This window comes from Homo sapiens, chromosome 5 (genome assembly GCF_000001405.40).
Source record: "Homo sapiens chromosome 5, GRCh38.p14 Primary Assembly".
Lineage (NCBI taxonomy): Eukaryota > Metazoa > Chordata > Mammalia > Primates > Hominidae > Homo > Homo sapiens.
Genome location: NC_000005.10, coordinates 112,724,012 through 112,742,156, shown reverse-complemented (window position 1 = coordinate 112,742,156; position 18,145 = coordinate 112,724,012). Strand labels below are relative to the sequence as shown.

Sequence of the window (18,145 nt, the reverse complement as noted above, 5' to 3'; positions counted from 1 at the left end):
AATTATGTAAATTAAAAACACAGGTTTGAGTACACACAAAAAAAGTAAAACCCAAGCAGACACTTGCACACCCACGTTCATAGTAGCATTATTCATGATAGACAAAAGGTGGAAACAACCTGAAGTGTCCACTGACAGATGAATGAACAAAATGTGGCATATACATGCAATGGAACATCATTTAGACCTAAAAAGGAAAGAAATTCTGACACATGGCTACAGTATGGATGAACCTTCGAGACATTATGCTAAGTGAAATAAGCCAGGTGCAAAAGAATAAATATTAAATGGTTTTTCTTATTAGAGGTTCCCAGAATAGTCAAATTCTTTGAGACAAAAAGTGGAGTGGTGGTTGCCAAGGGTTGGGGGGAGGGGAAAATGGCATGTTAGTGTTTAATGTGCACAGAGTTTTAATTAGGGAAGATTAAAAATTTCTAGAGATGGGTGGTGGTGATGGTTGCACAACAATGTGAATGAACTTAATGCCACAGAACTGTACAATTAAAAGTGCTTAAGATGGTAAATTTTATGTATATTTATCACAATAAAATTTTTTTAAAAATCTCATTAACTGTAAAAAACAGACTCACAAAATGATGCTATTTCTCAAGAATTTATGCATATTAAACACACAAGAAGAGTGGGTGCAGGGTGTGAGAATAAAGGGGAGAAGGCTTACCTTGTATCAACTGATGATGTATGATTTGATTTACAAAGTCAACTTTTGAGAACATACCTATTCACCTAATGTTCTCATTGTACATTCAAGATACTTAGTACTTCAAAAGTAATTTAGTTTTCAAAAATTCTCTGTGACTCTAAGCAGATTTTATGAAAAAGCAGTGTTTCAAACAGCAATCCACCATATTCTTCTAAATTAGAGGATATCTTAGATTATATAAATCTTTAAATATCCTAGGAGTAGCCAAAGCAGTGTTTAACTTGTAATGAAATTTCACATAATTCTACCATGAGTTTTCTTAGAGATTAGTTTACGTGTCTTATTTGACTCCAGCATTTTTCAAAGATGATATTTAGAAGGTATCCTAATAAATATGTAGTGAATATATTTCCTAAACTATTACCCATCTTTTCTGAACCATAATACTCTATCCCATTTTATGTGCTGCATAGGTAGGTTTCAGATTCTAATACAAGAAAAGGGGGAGAAGGGAGATCAAAATTGAAGAGAACATTTAAACATATACAAGTATAAAAGATCATTTAAACATATACAAGTATAAAAGATTGGTTAAATTTCATAAAATGAGTAACAGTTTATAAAACAGACAAAAATGGTAAAATCTACAGAGCAATTAATGCAAATGGAAAAACTTCATGGTGGCTCACACCTGTAAATCCCAGCACTTTGGGAGGCTGAGGTGGGAGGATCATTTGAGCTCACGAGTTCGAGACCACCCTGGGCAACATGGTGAAACCCCATCTCTACAAAAAATATAAAAATTAGCTGTGCACGGTGGTATGTGCCTGTAGTCCCTGCTACCTGGAGGGCTGAAGTGGGAGCATCACTTGAGCCTGCGAGGTTGAAGCTGCAAGTGAGCCATGTTTGCTACTGCACGCCAGCCTGGGTTGACAAAGTGAGACCCTGTCTCAAAAAAAAAAAAAAAAAAAGAAAAAAAAACACAAAAAACAAAAACTTCAATAGCTTAAATTCAGTTCATAAAACATTTATGAATATTTAATTTTAAATTCCTTAAACAGCACAATTCAGGCCATATCAGAGCAGTGAATAATTTCAAAGACCACTAAAGCCAATAGGTCAGTCATAGATTAGATATACTACAAGAGGAATGAAATAAACTTTAGTTCTTTATTTCTTATTTAATTCAGAAAAACATCTCAATCTAACACTGTTCTACTTAAATGTGTTCATATGATTAATAAGACGATCTTTAAAAAGTCGTTTATGAATGTCATTATGAAAACTGCTGCTTCTCCATTTGCTTAGTCACCAGGTATTTTTTAAAGCATTCTTATATTGTAGATAAAAATCCACAACCAAGTAGGATTGCCTTTTCATTTTTTGAATAATTTGTCAGTGACTTACACTGTTTTTCAAATTACCTCTGTTATATATTATTTTGTATGTATGTAATAAAAGGCATTATAGTTTTATAGAATTAGAATAAAATAGAAGACTTAAGTTCTTTACATTGTTATACAATATTTGACCTTGGATAAAGTCACAACATACTTGAATAGGAGTCTCTAACATTTAAAATAAAAATAATGCTACAATGAGCTGTTAAAATGGTAAAAGGTAATTTATGTAAAAATAATAGTTTTATAGACTCTCAAACACTATGCTAATGGAATTCAAAGAACTGAGTAATATTAGCTGTTAAATGTCATTTGGAATTTTAATGTGACATCTTTAGTTCTAGCCATAGTTTCCATCAGATTTTAAAAAAGAGACTCTAAGTACTTTTTTTTGAGATAGGGTCTTGCTTGGTTGCCCAGGCTGGTCTTGAACGCCAAGGCTCAAGTGATCCTCCTGCCTCAGCTTCCCTCAGCCTCCTGTTTAGCTTGTATTACAGGCATGGGCCACCACGCCCGGCTCCTAAGTACTATTAACCCTGATATCCATGATCAAGTAATTCTTAAAGCAGAAATAATTTTTTAAAGAACTATTTAAATTTATCAGTGAAAAACTTATGTAGTCTTATTTATCTAAGCCAGCCCAATTCCGCATTATCTTGAAAATATTACTGAAACAATATAATAGGTCATCTTAAGACTTTCTATTACATAAACATTATTTAAGAGACACTGTCACTGACCCTGGAGGGCTTTACAAAGCCACTGCCATCCTTGTTCAGGGAGTGGGGAGGTGTGGCAGGCTGGCTACTATAAGTATGCATAAAGATAGGCTTTTACATTTAGGTAAAGGAAAAAAAAGCTCAATGAAAAACACTTTATATCAAGAGTATATCTCATGAGTACTCACTAAACAGAAATACATCTAGAAGAAAAGCCATGTTGCTTTAATTTAAAATATTTGCACACTGAATTAATATCTTAAATATTTATTCAGTGTTATCTAAAAGCAACCAAAGAGAAATATAAAATTACTTAACTATAGGTCTTAAATATTAGGCCTACAAAAATTTGTTCACCATAATTTTTGACAAAGTAATTTACGTTGTAAAGTGGTTTGCTCTTGAATGACCTAATTAATGGCATAAAAGCTTCACTAACAAAAGAAAAGATCCACTGTTTCATACATAATTTATTAAGATTTCGTATAGGATTTATGTTAAATCAAAGAATTTGAGCATCACTTTCGTGATGTAGAATCAAAGTGTCCAATACATTCCAATGACAAAACATTCATAGCCTGACATTATTCCTACTTTAAAAAACAGTAATTTTTTTTCTGCTGTTCAGGCTGCATTTATAAACTATGGCTTCTTGTAAATGGGCTTCTACCCCAGCATTTGCTGCAAGGTTTCTTATTCCTCTGCAGTTGTCTTTTCGGCCTAACAGAGGGAGAAAAAGCACTGCTGCAGTCGTCCGCAAAAAGCCACTACCACTGCATTTTGTAACTAACAAAGACACTGGTATCTGTTTGCCACCCTGTTCACAGGGAGTTTACTTAGATGTTTTACAAAAGCAGGCACACTACTGGTGACCAGTATTTCACCAACCAACACCACCACTCACGCTCTGCAGTACCTGCCTCCTCCTCTTTCTCTCATCCCCAGTAGCTCTTTCCACTAGATTCACATCAGCCATCTGCAGCGGTTTTGTCTCCTCTCTCTTTTGGCCACCAATGCATGTGTCCTTGTCGCCAGGGAGGAAAAGAAGCCTTTCAATGGGGTAGAGCTTTTGCTCCTCGCCATGAATATGCTCCATTCTTTGTTGTCCTCTACCCGTTTCCTTAGATACTGTTATTCCACTCTGTCAAATGGCATTATAAAAACAAAAACCCCTTCTGGCTTCAAAAACAGCTTTTCTCAGCAGACTCCCCTTAACACTTCTACCCCTCCCCCTTCTTCCTCTTCTGTCAAAAACCCTGGATCCGAAGTACAGGAAATCCATCTCCAGTGCTGCAGTGGGGGGCGGGGGGACGACGCCCCTGCCTCCTCGTTTGGCATGCTGCAGTGGACCCTGTGCCAAGGAAAGGCCATCGGTTTAAGACAGTGCGAGGGAAAACCACCTTCCCCCCTCCCCCCGCAGCAAGCCTGGCCATGGTGGCTCCAGCACCTACCCCATTTCCGAGTCCGGCAGCACCTCCATTCTGTCTCCAGTGACACCCTGGCGGGCTGCACCAATACAGCCACATGTCGGTCACGTGCGCCCACACCCAGCCAATCGGCGGGCTCCCGACGGGAATGGGGAGCGCCCTGGTCCGCATCCAGCGGATTACACAGCTGCTTCTCTCTCCGCTTCCCGACCCGCACTCCGCAGTGGGGCACAGGGCCCCGCCCAACCGCACAGCCTGCCTAGCCCTAGCCCCGTACCCCTCGGGGGTATGCCCTCGCGGCCCCAGTCCCCAGCAAGCAAGGAAGTTGATGGCAGTTGACACGCATAGTAAAGAGTCGGGGGAGGTCCGCAGGGCAGAAGGATTAGCACAAGATGCCGGAGGTGGGAGGGAGAGTAATAAATTACATCTCGATTGCTATGATTTTTGCAGCACAGAGAAACAATAATATTAAATGAATTACAATGAATAATTTTACATTACAAGTCACTGAGTTGTCAGAGTGATGACTTGTTAGATAGATCACTCGAATTATATTTGAATTAAAAATAGTTACCAGAAAAGCTATGCTAGCAGCTTAGTAGTGGAGATCAGAACTCTGGAAGTCTGGGTTGCCTGAGTTGAAGCTTTACTCCTGTCACTCTAGCTCTGTAACTTTAGTTACTTAACCTCTCAGTGTTTCAATTTCCTGCTGTATAAAACGGGAACAGAAGTACAGAATAGAGGAGTTAATATATATGAAGTATTTAGAGCAGTCCCTGACACATACATAGAAGTGCTGTTAGCTACTACAAATCTGAGGCTTTAATGTAGTATTTTAATGCAAATTCTACATTGCATTTAAATCGAACCAGGTGATGCTTAAATTCCCAATTTTATGAGGTTGAAGGACAAAATCCAAACTGTCAAGAATATATAAAGTTAAACTTAAATTCTGGTTTAAATGGGGGGAAACCAGTTTCTATTATCTATTTAAAATTTAAAAGGATACTATACTTCAAGTTTTCTTTGTTTGTTTTTTGAGATAGAGTCTTGCTCTGTCACCAGGCGAGTGCAGTGGTGCAATCTCCGCTCACTGCAACCTCCACCTCCCGGGTTCAAGCGATTCTCCTGCCTCAGCCTCCCAAGTAGCTGGGACTACAGGCACGTGCCATCATGCCCAGCTAAGTTTTGTATTTTTAGTAGAGACGGGGTTTCACCATGCTGGCCAGGATGGTCTCAATCTCCTGACCTTGTGATCCGCCCACCTCGGTCCCTCCAAGTACTGGGATTACATGCGTGAGCCACTGTGCCCGGCCTAAACTTAAAGTTTTTAAATGAAGCATATTATAATCGTTTCTTAATTTTCAAATAGTATGAAAAGAAGCAAGCTATTAAATAGCATATTTGAGGCAATTCCATTTGATTAAAAAATGTATATATTAGAAAAGCAATAGACACACAACAAAATGTCCATAGAGGTTATTCCTGGAAAGTGAGATTATGGAGCTATTTCTGCTGTCCTTTCGTGCTTTGTTTTTTTTCTCTTTCATTAGTCCCTGTGTTACAATGCCTGATATACAGCAAATACACCCCAAATATTTATTTAACAAGTGAGTTATTTCCACACTGATGGCATACTACTGTTCTATTAAAAGTTTAAATATATTTAGAAACAATTTCCCTTCATATTTGAAATAAATAAAAGCATGTAAATCAATTTGATTATATTCTAAATAACTCTCTTTTGAGAATGACTTCATTTTACAAAAGGCTTTCAAAATCCTCTTACTGAAAGCACATGATTCACTGCACAGGACTTATTTACAAGTCATTTTTTGTGACAAATTCAGAATAGGTAATTTCTCATAAGGCCTAGAACTTCCAGAAGGAAAACAGTCTTTCAAAACAAAGAATACCTTTTAAAAGGTCCTCAAAAGAACTTCTTAGTACCCTAAGACACAATTGTAAGCCTATTACTCTTGACTCAGACTATGATACAAGCTATTATTTAGTAAACCAGTTTGTAGCCAAAATGTTTGTCTAAATTTTTACTGCATGTATCATAGATATTCATCAGTGACTTAAATGACATAGTTGTAAAGAAAGCTACGACCATTATATGTTCATTAGTCACTATGCTTCAAATCTAAAAGAAAGCCAAGTTAAACATTTTGTATTTTATGTTGCCAATTACTCAGTAATATTTTTCTTATTTTTAGAGATTCCACAAAAGTTTAATTTGAATTTTTAAAACTGCTTAGCTATTTTAAAACTATAATTAAATATAGATATATAATCAAAGTATACTGGGCCAAATTTCAGCATGGAAAATTACTGAAGCATTACCTTGTCTTATCAAGTTTGCACATAGCTCAGAATAAAGCTCCTGCCATCTCTATTTGATTGAAGATGTTATTTACACTACATATACATATATATATATATATATGTATGCATTAAAAATATTTTCTGGGCAGGGTGCAGTGGCTCATGCCTATAATCCCAGGAATTTGGGAGGCCGAGGTGGCCAGTTCACTTGAGCTCAGGAGTTGGAGACCAGCATGGGCAACATGGCGAAACCTCATTTCTACCAAGAATACAAAAAAATTAGCCAGCTGTGGTGACACGCGCCTGTGGTCCTAGCTACTCTAGAGGCTGAGGTGGGAGGATCACTTGAACCCAGGAGGCAGAGGTTGCAGTGAGCCGAGATCTCGCCATTGTACTCCAGCCTGTGCAACAGAGACCATGTCTCAAAAGATATATATATTTTTTCTGATCAAAATGAAACAGAAATAAATTGTGTAACACTGTTTAAAGACCGCACTGACAAACATATCTCTTATTTTCAGTATCAGTGTTTGTTATAACCAGCTTCATTGCTTTTAGTAAATGGTTTCATATGTAAATGTTGTAAATATGAACATATAATTCAACTTAAAAAACCCTTCTGAACCTTCTGCAGCTACAAAAAAAAATGACTAAATAGGATTAATAGGATTCTTAATGTCTTAAATATTACATTCCCCAGCTACTTGGGAGGCTGAGGCATGAGAATCTCTTGGACCTGGGAGGTGGGGGCTGCAGTGAGCCGAGATCACACCACTGTACTCCAGCCTCAGTGACAAAGCAAGACTCTATCTCAAAAAAAAAAAAAAACACACACACACACACAAGAAAACCCTTTCCATTCCATTTTTACCTAGGCACTTTTGGCCTAATTTAAGACTTTTGGTTTAAAAAACTGACAAGAAGAATATTGACAATATTAACTAGTGTAAAATGAATTAAAATTAGTGCTCCTTTCAGTCGCCTTAATTGACTCTGGTGCTTTACTGATAAACTTAATCGTCTCTCTTTACCGAAGACCTTAGACATAGAATAGAGTTATGCCTACAGATATCAACAAGCTTTTTTTTTCTTTCAAAATAATAATTATGCATTGAAAAAACAGTTACTAGTATAAATTTAACTTCTACAGGTACTAAGGCATCAAATAAAGCTCAGATTTAGAAACCTTTCAGTGTTCGGATCTTATAGTTAGTTATGGTACGATGGAAAAGCCTAAGAAGAGATAAGTTAGATGTGTGCCTAACTGGTTCTGTATTTTTCATGGGATACGAGAACGAGGTGAAATGTTACAATGGCAATGAGATTTTCAGTGATGTATAAACTAAGTGGGAGATCTTGACCCACGTGTCTATCTTTATCTATATGTCTGTCTGTCTATCCATCCACCTAACCATCTCCCATTTTTTCAGGGACGAGGTCTTGCTCTGTCACCCAGGCTGGAGTGCAGTGGCATAAGCACAGCTCCCTGTAACCTCGAACTCCTAACCTCAGGTGATCCTCCTGCCTTGGCCTCGCAAGGTGCTGTGATTACAGACGTGAGCAGCCACACAGGACTGGGAGATATATTCATAGTCTTCTACGGGCAAGACTTACCAGTATGTTCTATGTTACCTCAAGGAGTGAGTCTCAAAAGAAGTGTTCCTAGCATCTAATAGAATCTTAATTAATTTTCCTCTCACCAATATCCTCTCTAATCAGCAAACACCAAAATAGTTCTTCACACTTTTGCTCAAGAACATTCCATGTCTTTCTACTGCTGACAGTGGAACAGAGACAGTTTGGAGTTTAGTCATGGAGTGCCCTGAGGTCATGTTAATTAGTCTTCCTACAATAAAATAGTTCCTAGGCGTATTAAATGTCCTATGGCTGCCAAAACAAATTACCACAAATTTAGTGTCTTAAAACACACATTTGATAACTTACAGTTTTGTAGGTCAGAAGTCTAAAATGGGTCTCACTAGGCTAAAACCAAGGTGTCTGCAGGGCTGCACTTCTTTCTAGAGGCTCTAAGGGGGAATCTGTTTCCTTATCCTTTCTGGCTTCTACAGATCCACTGTATTTTATGGTTCATAGCACTTCACTTCCATCTTCAGAGCAAGCAATGGTGGACTGAGTCTTTCTCATTCTGCAGGACTGACCTTGCCCCTTCTCAAATCTCCTTCTCTGACTCTCATTTTTCTGCCTCCCTCTTCCACTCTTAAGTAACCTCTTTAAAGACCCTTACATTTGGCCCACGTCAATAATCCAGGATGATCTTCCTATTTTAAAGTTACCTCATTAGCCATTTTAATTCCCTTTTGTCACATAACCTAACATATTCATAGATTCTGGGGACTAGGAAGCAGACATTTGTAGGGAGCCATTATTCTGCTGACCATACTATAGCTTTATCTCCAACTATTTCAGAACTTCCATCCTAATAATAAAATTAACTATCAGCCCTTTCTAAAACTTATAGTTTCTTACTCATATAGCTCTTCGCTACTCTACTGAGATACTTTAGAAGGCTCCAGCATATGGAGATTGAAGACTTAGGTTCAAGTTCTGAATCTTTCACTTTGTAGCTTGATAACGCTGGAAAAGTCATTTAACTTTTCTAAGGCTTGACTACTCCTTCATCTATAAAATGGGAATAACTGACTTATCTTGCAGAGCTGTAATAAGGATCATTATGTATTATGAACAAGCTTTATAAACTGAAACAATTTTTTAAAGTAAAGGATGATTAATTGCTCTACTGGCCCAAATCATGGTTTGGCTTAAACATAAATTCCCATGAAGTAATCCAGCAACCCACCTAGAATCAATTCATCTCCTTTTCCCTTCATTGTTCCTACATCTTTTATGGCACAAACACATTTTGTACCTGTGTGTATACACCTCTTATCCCATTCCTGACTATTAAAATCCCAAGGGAAGAGCCCTCACCTGATTTTGTCTCATATCTCATGGTGTATATCACAATGTTTTCTACATAGGTGTTCATTAAACATTATTTTAAAAAGTGATTTTAAATTAACCCGCAAAGGGCATTCAATTAAGATGCCCTCACGGAATAATAGTAGAGCAATTGTTAAATAATATTATTGTAAAATATAACCTTCTACTGAGGAAACGGAATATTCTAAGTTAAAACTCTGGCCCCTGTATATGGAAAAACAAATGTTGTGATGCAGCCACGGGACTAAGTTTCTGAGCTTAGTTGTTACACTGCAGAATCCCTTTAGTACTCCGAGGAGCTTTTAAAACACCAAGAAAGAATCTGTGGGTAGTGCCCAAGCTTTGGTATGTGCTGCCAGGGATGAGAAACACCAAGCACTCCTTTAGATTCTGCTCTCGAAGTTCCCACTGCACTACAGTAGGGAAACCATTTTGAAATAGCCTTTTAATTTGGAGTGTTATACAGCCTCAGGACTTGCTTACAGGAGAAAGAAACTTACTTCTTCCTGTCAAAAAGCTTTCCCGGTATCTTGCATAAGTACTGGCAATTAACATGAGAAAAAATATGAAGGACTAATAAATACATAGAAAAATGTTCTGGTCATGTGCAATGGCTCATGCCTGTAACCCCAGCACTTTGGGAGGCCAAGGTGGGCAGATCACTTGAGGCCAGGAGTTTGAGACCAGCCTGGCCAACATGGCGAAACCCTGTCTCTACTAAAAATACAAAACTTAGCCAGGCGAGGTGGCACATGCCTGTAGTCCCAGATACTCGGGATGCTGAGGCACAAGAATCACTTGAGCCCGGGAGGCAGAGGCTGCAGTGAACAGAGATCACGCCACTGCACTGCAGCCTGGGCAACAGAGCAAGACTCTGTCTAAAACAAAACAAAACAAAACCAAAAAAACCCAGAAGAATGTTTTAGTATATCAAATGATCAAAGAAATAGAAATAAACACAAGAGTACTATAAAAATAGGCAATGATATTTTAAAATAATATTGTAGGGTCAGTGAGGACATATAAGTCTTTAAAATGTTTACCACGATTTGAGTATGTCCCCCAAAAGCCTGTGTCGGAAATTTAATCCCCAATGCAACAGTGTTGGGAGCTGCAGCCTAATGGGAGGTATTCACGTTCCACCCTCAGTAATGGATTAATGTGTTTTATTAAAAAGCCTGAGGCTACAAATTTGATCCCTTGCTTGCTCTGGCCGTCTCCTGTCCTTCCTCCTTCCACCTTGGGATGACACAATAAGAAGGCCCTCACCAGATGCTGGTGCCATGCTCTTGGACGTCTCAGCTCCTATAACTATGAACCAATAAATTTCTGTTCATTATAAATTACCCAGTCTCAGGTATTTTGTTATAGTAGCAGAAAATGGACAAAGGCAATTCTTATACTCAAGCAAGCCCAATTAAAAGAAATTATCCTATGTACAGATACCCCTACAAAGATTTGTAATTTGGCATTACTTGTACTACTGAAATGTTAGAAAAAACCTCAACAATTACTAACAACAGCTTGGTTAATTATACTTTTGGCACATTTATAAGATGATTAAAATTACGTTGTAAAATATAATTATATGATATATAATTATATAATCCATATATTATGTGAAAATGCAGAATATTGTCTGTTTAATATGATATAAACTAGCTTTTAAAAAATAAATTGCGTATGTACACAGAGAAAAGCAGAGAGAGATAAAACATCATGTTTCCTCCCTAGGAATTACAAGAATTTCGGTTTTTCTGAATTTTATAAAATTCCTACAACCTAATATATATAATTTCTTTCCATTTTTTTTAAGTTAAGTACTTCTAGGTTCGACACTAACTGAAGTCACAACATTAGAGGAGAGAGAAATTAACATTTCTCACTTAACCTGTGGCCAAAGGCAGATTCAGATTTTGTGGTGACCAGCAGCCTATAATAAAGGGGCAGCTGGGTGGGAGGGTCCTTAAGAAAAACACAAATTAATTCAAGATTGCTAGGGCTGCTCCTGCAAGGGCCTTAGAAAGGGCCATGCAATTAGGTTCACTAAACTTCATCAGTTTCATGATAAATATGCTTCTAAACCAGTGGCAAACATTACGTTAGGCATTTTCATATATTCAATCTAACAAAACTTCTATAGAGATAAAGGTATCACTATTCACATGCATGGAAAATTGAGGCTCAAAGAAATTTTAAAAAGTATCCAAATTCACCCAACAGTGAAATGGCAGTCCGCCTTCAAAGCCAATGCTGACTATATTGCCTCATCCTCCATGTCTCAGCAGCAATTTCCTTCACTAAGGTACCTTTCAGAGCAGCTTGTACTTTTTCAAGCCTCATCCCTCATAAAAAGTTACTTGTTCAACTGTTATCATTCTGATGCTTACTATATAGTAGCTGGCTCTGCAGCAGTAGGTACTTGATAAATATTTATTGAATGAATGGATTTATTATAATCAGAATAGGTAAAAATAAGAAAACTCAAACAGATTTGAAAATGTCCTTTTAGAATCTACAATGAATCCACCCATAAATTTTTATCCATGAGAAAATACAGATCTCTCTGGAAAATATCTGGAACAAAATTTCTTTAAATGCAGGAGACATCTTTATGTTAATTTAGTTAAATAACTAAAGAGAAACAGAGTTTGGGGTTATCGTATGGGCATTAGCAAATAAGAGGTAATGCCAAGGAGTGGGCATATTAGTAAAGGCAAAATAAATCAGAAAAACTGTGATGACTCAACAACTCAGCTACCCTAAGTTAGTTCTGTTTCACTGCCCTTGTAAGATACTAAATATATATTAGATTAAATAAAACTTATGCATGCAAAATGTGGCAGCATTTAGGCCCTGAAGACTTGCCCTCTGGTGTTACTCTAGTGAATATACTACATTATATGGTAAAAGGAACTTGGCAGATAAAATTAAGTTTATTAGTTAGCTGACCTTAAAATCATGAGATTATCCTGGGTAGACCCAATGTAATGACATGAGCCCTTAAAAACTTCAAACTGTTCATTGGCTTCCCAGTGTAATCAGAATAAATTTTAAATTCTTTACCTTGGTTTACAACTCTGCATAATCTAGATCTGATTCTTATCACTTCTCCTGTCCTTCCTCACCTACCTCTTTCTTATGCCTTAGAACTACCTTTCGTTCAGCCTCAAAAATTCTGCTTCCAAATCTTCAAATGACTAGTCCTTCATGTCATTCAGGTTTTGGCAAAAATGTCAAATTTTCAAAGATCACACCTTCCATGATCACCTTATCAACGCACTGGTGCTATCCTCACACTTTCTACCACATGATGGAGTTTCACATTCTAAGCATTTGAGATCTGAAAAGCTCTATCTATGTATTTATTTAATTTTCTGTCTCTCTCATCATTGTTTTCCAAAGTGGAATATAAATCCCATGAAGACAAGAACCAAGATTCTCCTGCACTGCTCTTTCCCTCGCATCTATAACAGTGCTTGGTGCTTTTTGTTCAATGTATGAATGTAGATGATACAATAATGAGTAAGACAATTTATAATCTAGAAGAGGACTAAGACATTTACAGAAGAAGTTTTAATACAAGGGAATGTACTGTTAAAGAATGGGAGATTAGATCGTTTCCAGCTAGGTAATCAAAAAAGATTTCAGAGAGAAAGTAGTAACAGAACTAGACTTCAAGGATGTTTAGGAATTTTTCAGGGCAGAGATTTCAATATTGTGTGTTAGGTTAAAAAACTCAGAATTCACCATATAGGCAATGAAAATACTAAGTATTTCAAATAAAAAGGGATATATAATTAGAACAAGATCCACAGATATTACAGGACCAGTTTCTAGTTCTGGCTCAAGAGGAAAAATAATCAGAAATCATATGCACACTGTTACTAATTTATAGCTGAATGTAATGGCCAAAAGCTTTTTCAACTGGAAAATATGATTGCAGGAAAAAAAAAACTAAGTCATACTCTTTATAAAAAAGTTTATAAATTCTATGATGTTGACAAAACAAAAAAAAAACACAATCACCTCTGGCAACCATTTTACCCAATTAACAAAAGATTTAGAAAAAACTGTGCGTAAGAACTTTATTTTTCTAAATTCTTAACATGTCCTAATCGGTTAAAACTTCAATTTCAAGGTATGCAGTGTTTTCCAGGGATGTCCAATATTTTGGCTTCCCTGAGCAACACTGGAAGAATTGTCTTGAGCCACATATAAAATACACTGGTCGGGCACGGTGGCTCACGCCTGTATTCCCAGCACTTTGGGAGGCTGAGGTGGGCGGATCATTTGAGGTCAGGAGTTCAAGAGCAGCCTGGCCAACATGGTGAAACCCCGTCTCTACTAAAAATACAAAAAAACAATAGGCAGGCATGGTGGTGGGCGCCTGTAATCCCAGCTACTCAGGAGGTTGAGGCAGGGGAATCGCTTGAACCCAGGAGGTGGAGGCTGCAGTGAGCTGAGATCACAACACTGCACTCCAGCCTGAGCAACAGAGAGAGACTCTGTCTCAAAACAACAACAACAAAAAACACAGTAACACTATCGACAGCTGATGAGCTTAAAAAAAAAAAATTGCAAAAAAATCTCATAATGTTTTAAGACAGTTTATGAATTTGTGTTGGGCCGCATTCAAAGCTGTGGGTTGGACATGCTCATTTTAAACTATCCTTTCCTATGGAGGGATAAAATTCTGATTTTTTTTTTTAAGTTAAATGTTTAAAACAAGGTTTTATGCTTGCCTGTATATTTAAGTATGTCTTCTTCAATTTTTTTTAATACTTTGACCTCTACTTAAAACCTAAAACAGCTATAAGACCGCCCCCAAAAGTACAATTTTACAATACAAACTGTATTCATAAAGATATCATTTTACCACTGAGAAGCTTAGTGACTGAAGGTTACCAAAACAGCACCAAATGCTTATGCATGTGGATTCAAGAAAGAGTAGCACATAGGATGATTTTTTTAAAGTCTTTTTCCCAAGAAAACAAGATCAAAATGATCATTTATTTAATATTTAAGATGTCCTAAAATGCCCAGATTACCTGATAAATCAGTTTATAACACACAAATCAGCCCTGAAAATATATCATAATTGATAAGAAAAATCTCAATACTGATGTTAAAAACAAAATTGGGTGTTTATGAAAGAATAAATATAGGGCATAGTAATGGCATTTAGAACTTGAAACCAAAGCCTTGGGTCAAAAGACTTTTGTTCTTATACCAATATTACCAAATTCTTACCTTGAAAGAGAAAATATAAGCTTTTAAAATATCATATTTAATAACTGCAGATGGCATTGCCTAATGCTATACCATTTTCTTCCTTTTTGAAAGTCTTTCCTTGGTCTTGCTACATGCTGAATTTTTTAAAAGTATAGACTATAAAATTATTTCACTCTGAATGTCCGAAGATAAGTGTTTGCAAGGGTCCCAACTTACTATTAAGTAAAATGAAAAAAAAAAAATCTATCTAGCATTACTGGACTATGTCAATCAAATTGGAAACCTCTTGATCACCTGACTACCCCTAAGAGTAGGTTGGTGCAAAAGTAATTGCGTTTTTACCATTACTTTCAATGGCAAAAACCGCAATTATTTTTGCACCAACCTAATAGTATCTAATATATATTATAGACTCATTTTAAGCATTAGGAGAATGAGTCACCTAATATAGGCGTTCATAATGCCTATTTAATATTATGTTCTCAGAGAGAAGAGAGAAAAGAAAATCAGGACAATCTAATAAATGTAATTCCCTTTTTCAAAATAGATCAATGTTTTAAAACTGAAACTTCATATTTACTTTATAAGTCTTTTTAAACTTTCCCTCCCAAGTACTCCAAGGTCAGGTGAATTATCTTAAGTGTCATACACCTTTTATACAAGCAGAAAGGTTTAAGAATTGGAATAAATTTCATTCCACATTCAAATACCCTCTCAACATGATACGGACAGGAAACAGGGAAATACTGGGTAGAGGAGGGTAGCTCTCCAGCAAAGGCCCCACCTCCAAGCCTGGAAACCTGCAGCCCTAAATAGGAAGAGGCATTCCTTTTTTTGCACCCAAAAGATGCCTTCTGGTCTGCCATGTCCCCTTATCCTGTGCCCATTAAAAACCCCAAACCCCCTGCTCCACAAGGAGACAAATGGAGAAGCAGAAGAACAGCAAAACAGCACAGCAGAGAAAAGAAAAGGAATGTTTGAACGCCGAGAGGAGTTTGGCTGGGGATGGTCAGAGAGGAAATTGCCTACTGGATAGCCAAACTCCAGGGGAAGATCATCTTCCCACTCCATCCCCCTTCCAGCTCCCCATCCATCTCACTGAGAGCCACCTCCACAACTCGATAAAACCCATGCATTCATCCTTCAAGTCCGTGTACAACCTGAATCTTCCTGGATGCCAGACAAGGACCTGGGTACCAGGAGGGTACTTAGCTGGTTAACACTTAAGTCGTCTGCAAGGCTAAAGGGGCTCACTGTAACACATGCCCACTTGGGCTTCAGGAGCTGCAGGCTCCCACCCCTGGATGCTGCCAGGGGGCCGGAGCCCAGGGGCACTTGCCCCGGCTTCTGCACCTGCCCGTCTGTGTGCTCCCCCTCCCATAAGGGGTTTGAGCATGGACGGTGGCCTGAACAGATGAGCCACTCCCCTGTTGCACATCCTGCAACAGGGGTCAGGGAACTCTCCCATTTCAAATAGACACAGGCTATTAATAAGGATCTTGATCCTGAACCAGTCTGTACCTCATATACTACGGTAAGGGCTTTTTCCTAATCTTTTTCTGAAGAAGGTCTGCTATTTAATTCAAATACTTAGATTTTCTCAACAAAATACTTGGGAATTCCATAGTAAAGGAATTTTTTTGATATGTGGTGCTTTGGGTTTTTTTGAGATAGGGTCTCACTGTTGCCCAGGCTGGAATGCAGTGGCATGATCACACCTTGCTGCAGACTCAACCTCCTGGGCTCAGGTGATCCTCCCAACTCAGCCTCCCAAGTACCTGGGACTACAGGCCTGCACTACTGAGCCCAGCTATTTTTTTTTTTTGTATGTTTTTGTAGAGATGGGGTTTCACCATGTTGCCCCGGCTGGTCTCAAACTCCTGGACTCAAGGGATCCATCCACCTCAGCCTCCCAAAGTGCTGGGATTACAGGCGTGAGCCACTGTGCCCGGCCCCTCCTTCTCCTTTTGAAACTGTTTTGTTTCTAACACTATTCTGATATTAAGAATATGCTGCTTGAACACTCAAGAAACAACAGTGACTTCCTCTGGGGAACAGAACCGAGTGGCACTCTCTTACTGTTTAAATCTTTAACAACTGCCTGGAATACCTTTAAAAAAATTGCTGTAAGTTATACTTACAGGAAATAATCTGGTTGGGTGCAGTGGCTCACGCCTGTAATCCTAGCACTTTTGGGGACCAAGGCAGGTGGACCACCTGAGGTCAGTAGTTTGAGAACAGCCTGGCCAACATAGTGAAACTCTGTCTCTACTAAAAATACAAATTAGCTGGGTGTGGTGGCACGTGTCTGTAACTGGGGAGGCTAGGCCACGAGAATGGCTTGAATCCAGGAGGCAGAGGTTGCGGTGAGCCAAGACTGTGCCACTGCACTTCAGCCTGGGGTGACAGAGCAAGCTCTGTCTCAAAATAAAAAAAAATAAAATAAAAATCTGTTAATTGCCAGCTGTTAGAAAGACCCTTCAAGATTAGTATTTTCTACCTTTCAAAGCACCCAAACAGTGACAAAGTAAAAGTCTAAGCTCATTAGCACTATATGTAAGGTCCTTTATGGCCTTGGCTCTTCACACTCCTCCATCCTTACCCACCGCCACTCACCTACTCTAGCTACACTCCAACCATTTGGAATTCTGTGCACTCACCACCAAATCACTATACCATTTCATTTACTGGAAGGTTCTTACATCTGCTTTTTCACCTAGATAATGTGGACCCATTTTACAGGACCCAATTTAGATGACCTCTCCCAAAAGCCTTCCCTAAGTCCTCCTTCCAGAGTAAGATCTGCCCCCACCCCCACCCCAATGCTTCCATAGATCCCTGTGCTTACCAACTATCTCATTTACCACACACTTGGGATTACGTATATATTGCTCTTTCTCACTAAAAGCTGTTTGAGGACAAGACTCTTGTATGTCATAATTGTATTCTCAAATGTATTCTAGTATTGCGCCTGGTCCAAAGTAGGTACCCAAATAGCTGCAGAATATGAATGAACTACCTCTCATACTTCAAGGCCCAATTCTGTGAAGCTGTCTATACCTATCCTAAGCAGCCAGGTGCTTTTTTCTCCATGCTCCCAAAGTACCAACTCAACTAATATCTATTTCTCTCCATTAGACTATGAGCTTCTGAACAACAAGCTTTTTCTTCTTCATAACTATACAAGCACTGTCCCAGGTATCTAGTAGCAATTAATTATTTGTTGAGTGGATGAAGAGTATGTATACTGTTAAAAATACATGTGAAAAAATAACAAGCATAGGATAGCCTGCTCACTTCTGATTTATTTTTTCATCTTTACTAACAATAAGAGATCATAAAGCTCTAAAAATATTTTGTGCTTGCTTTAGGATTAGGGAAAGGGAGCCGTTAAAAGATCAGACTATTCCCCAG

The 18,145-nt window shown here is 38.1% G+C and overlaps 1 protein-coding gene across 37 annotated transcripts in view; it reads right to left on the bottom strand.

The window, feature by feature from the left end:
- Positions 1–18,145, bottom strand: part of APC (APC regulator of Wnt signaling pathway) — a 138,742-nt gene that overhangs the window by 104,083 nt on the left and 16,514 nt on the right. For 11 of the 37 annotated variants that reach the window (NM_001354906.2, NM_001407471.1, NM_001354896.2 and 8 more), the window contains exon 1: positions 4,232–4,272. The exons of 19 other annotated variants lie outside the window; for them this stretch is intronic. Coding sequence is in view for 3 of the 18 variants with exons in the window: in NM_001407451.1 (NP_001394380.1) it covers positions 3,697–3,756 (60 nt within the window). In the remaining 15 variants the exon portion in view is untranslated. Of the gene's footprint in view, positions 1–3,696; positions 3,805–4,231; positions 4,273–18,145 lie in introns of those variants that run through there. 7 more of the 37 variants (NM_001407449.1, NM_001127510.3, NM_001407455.1 and 4 more) reach the window with 1 other exon arrangement.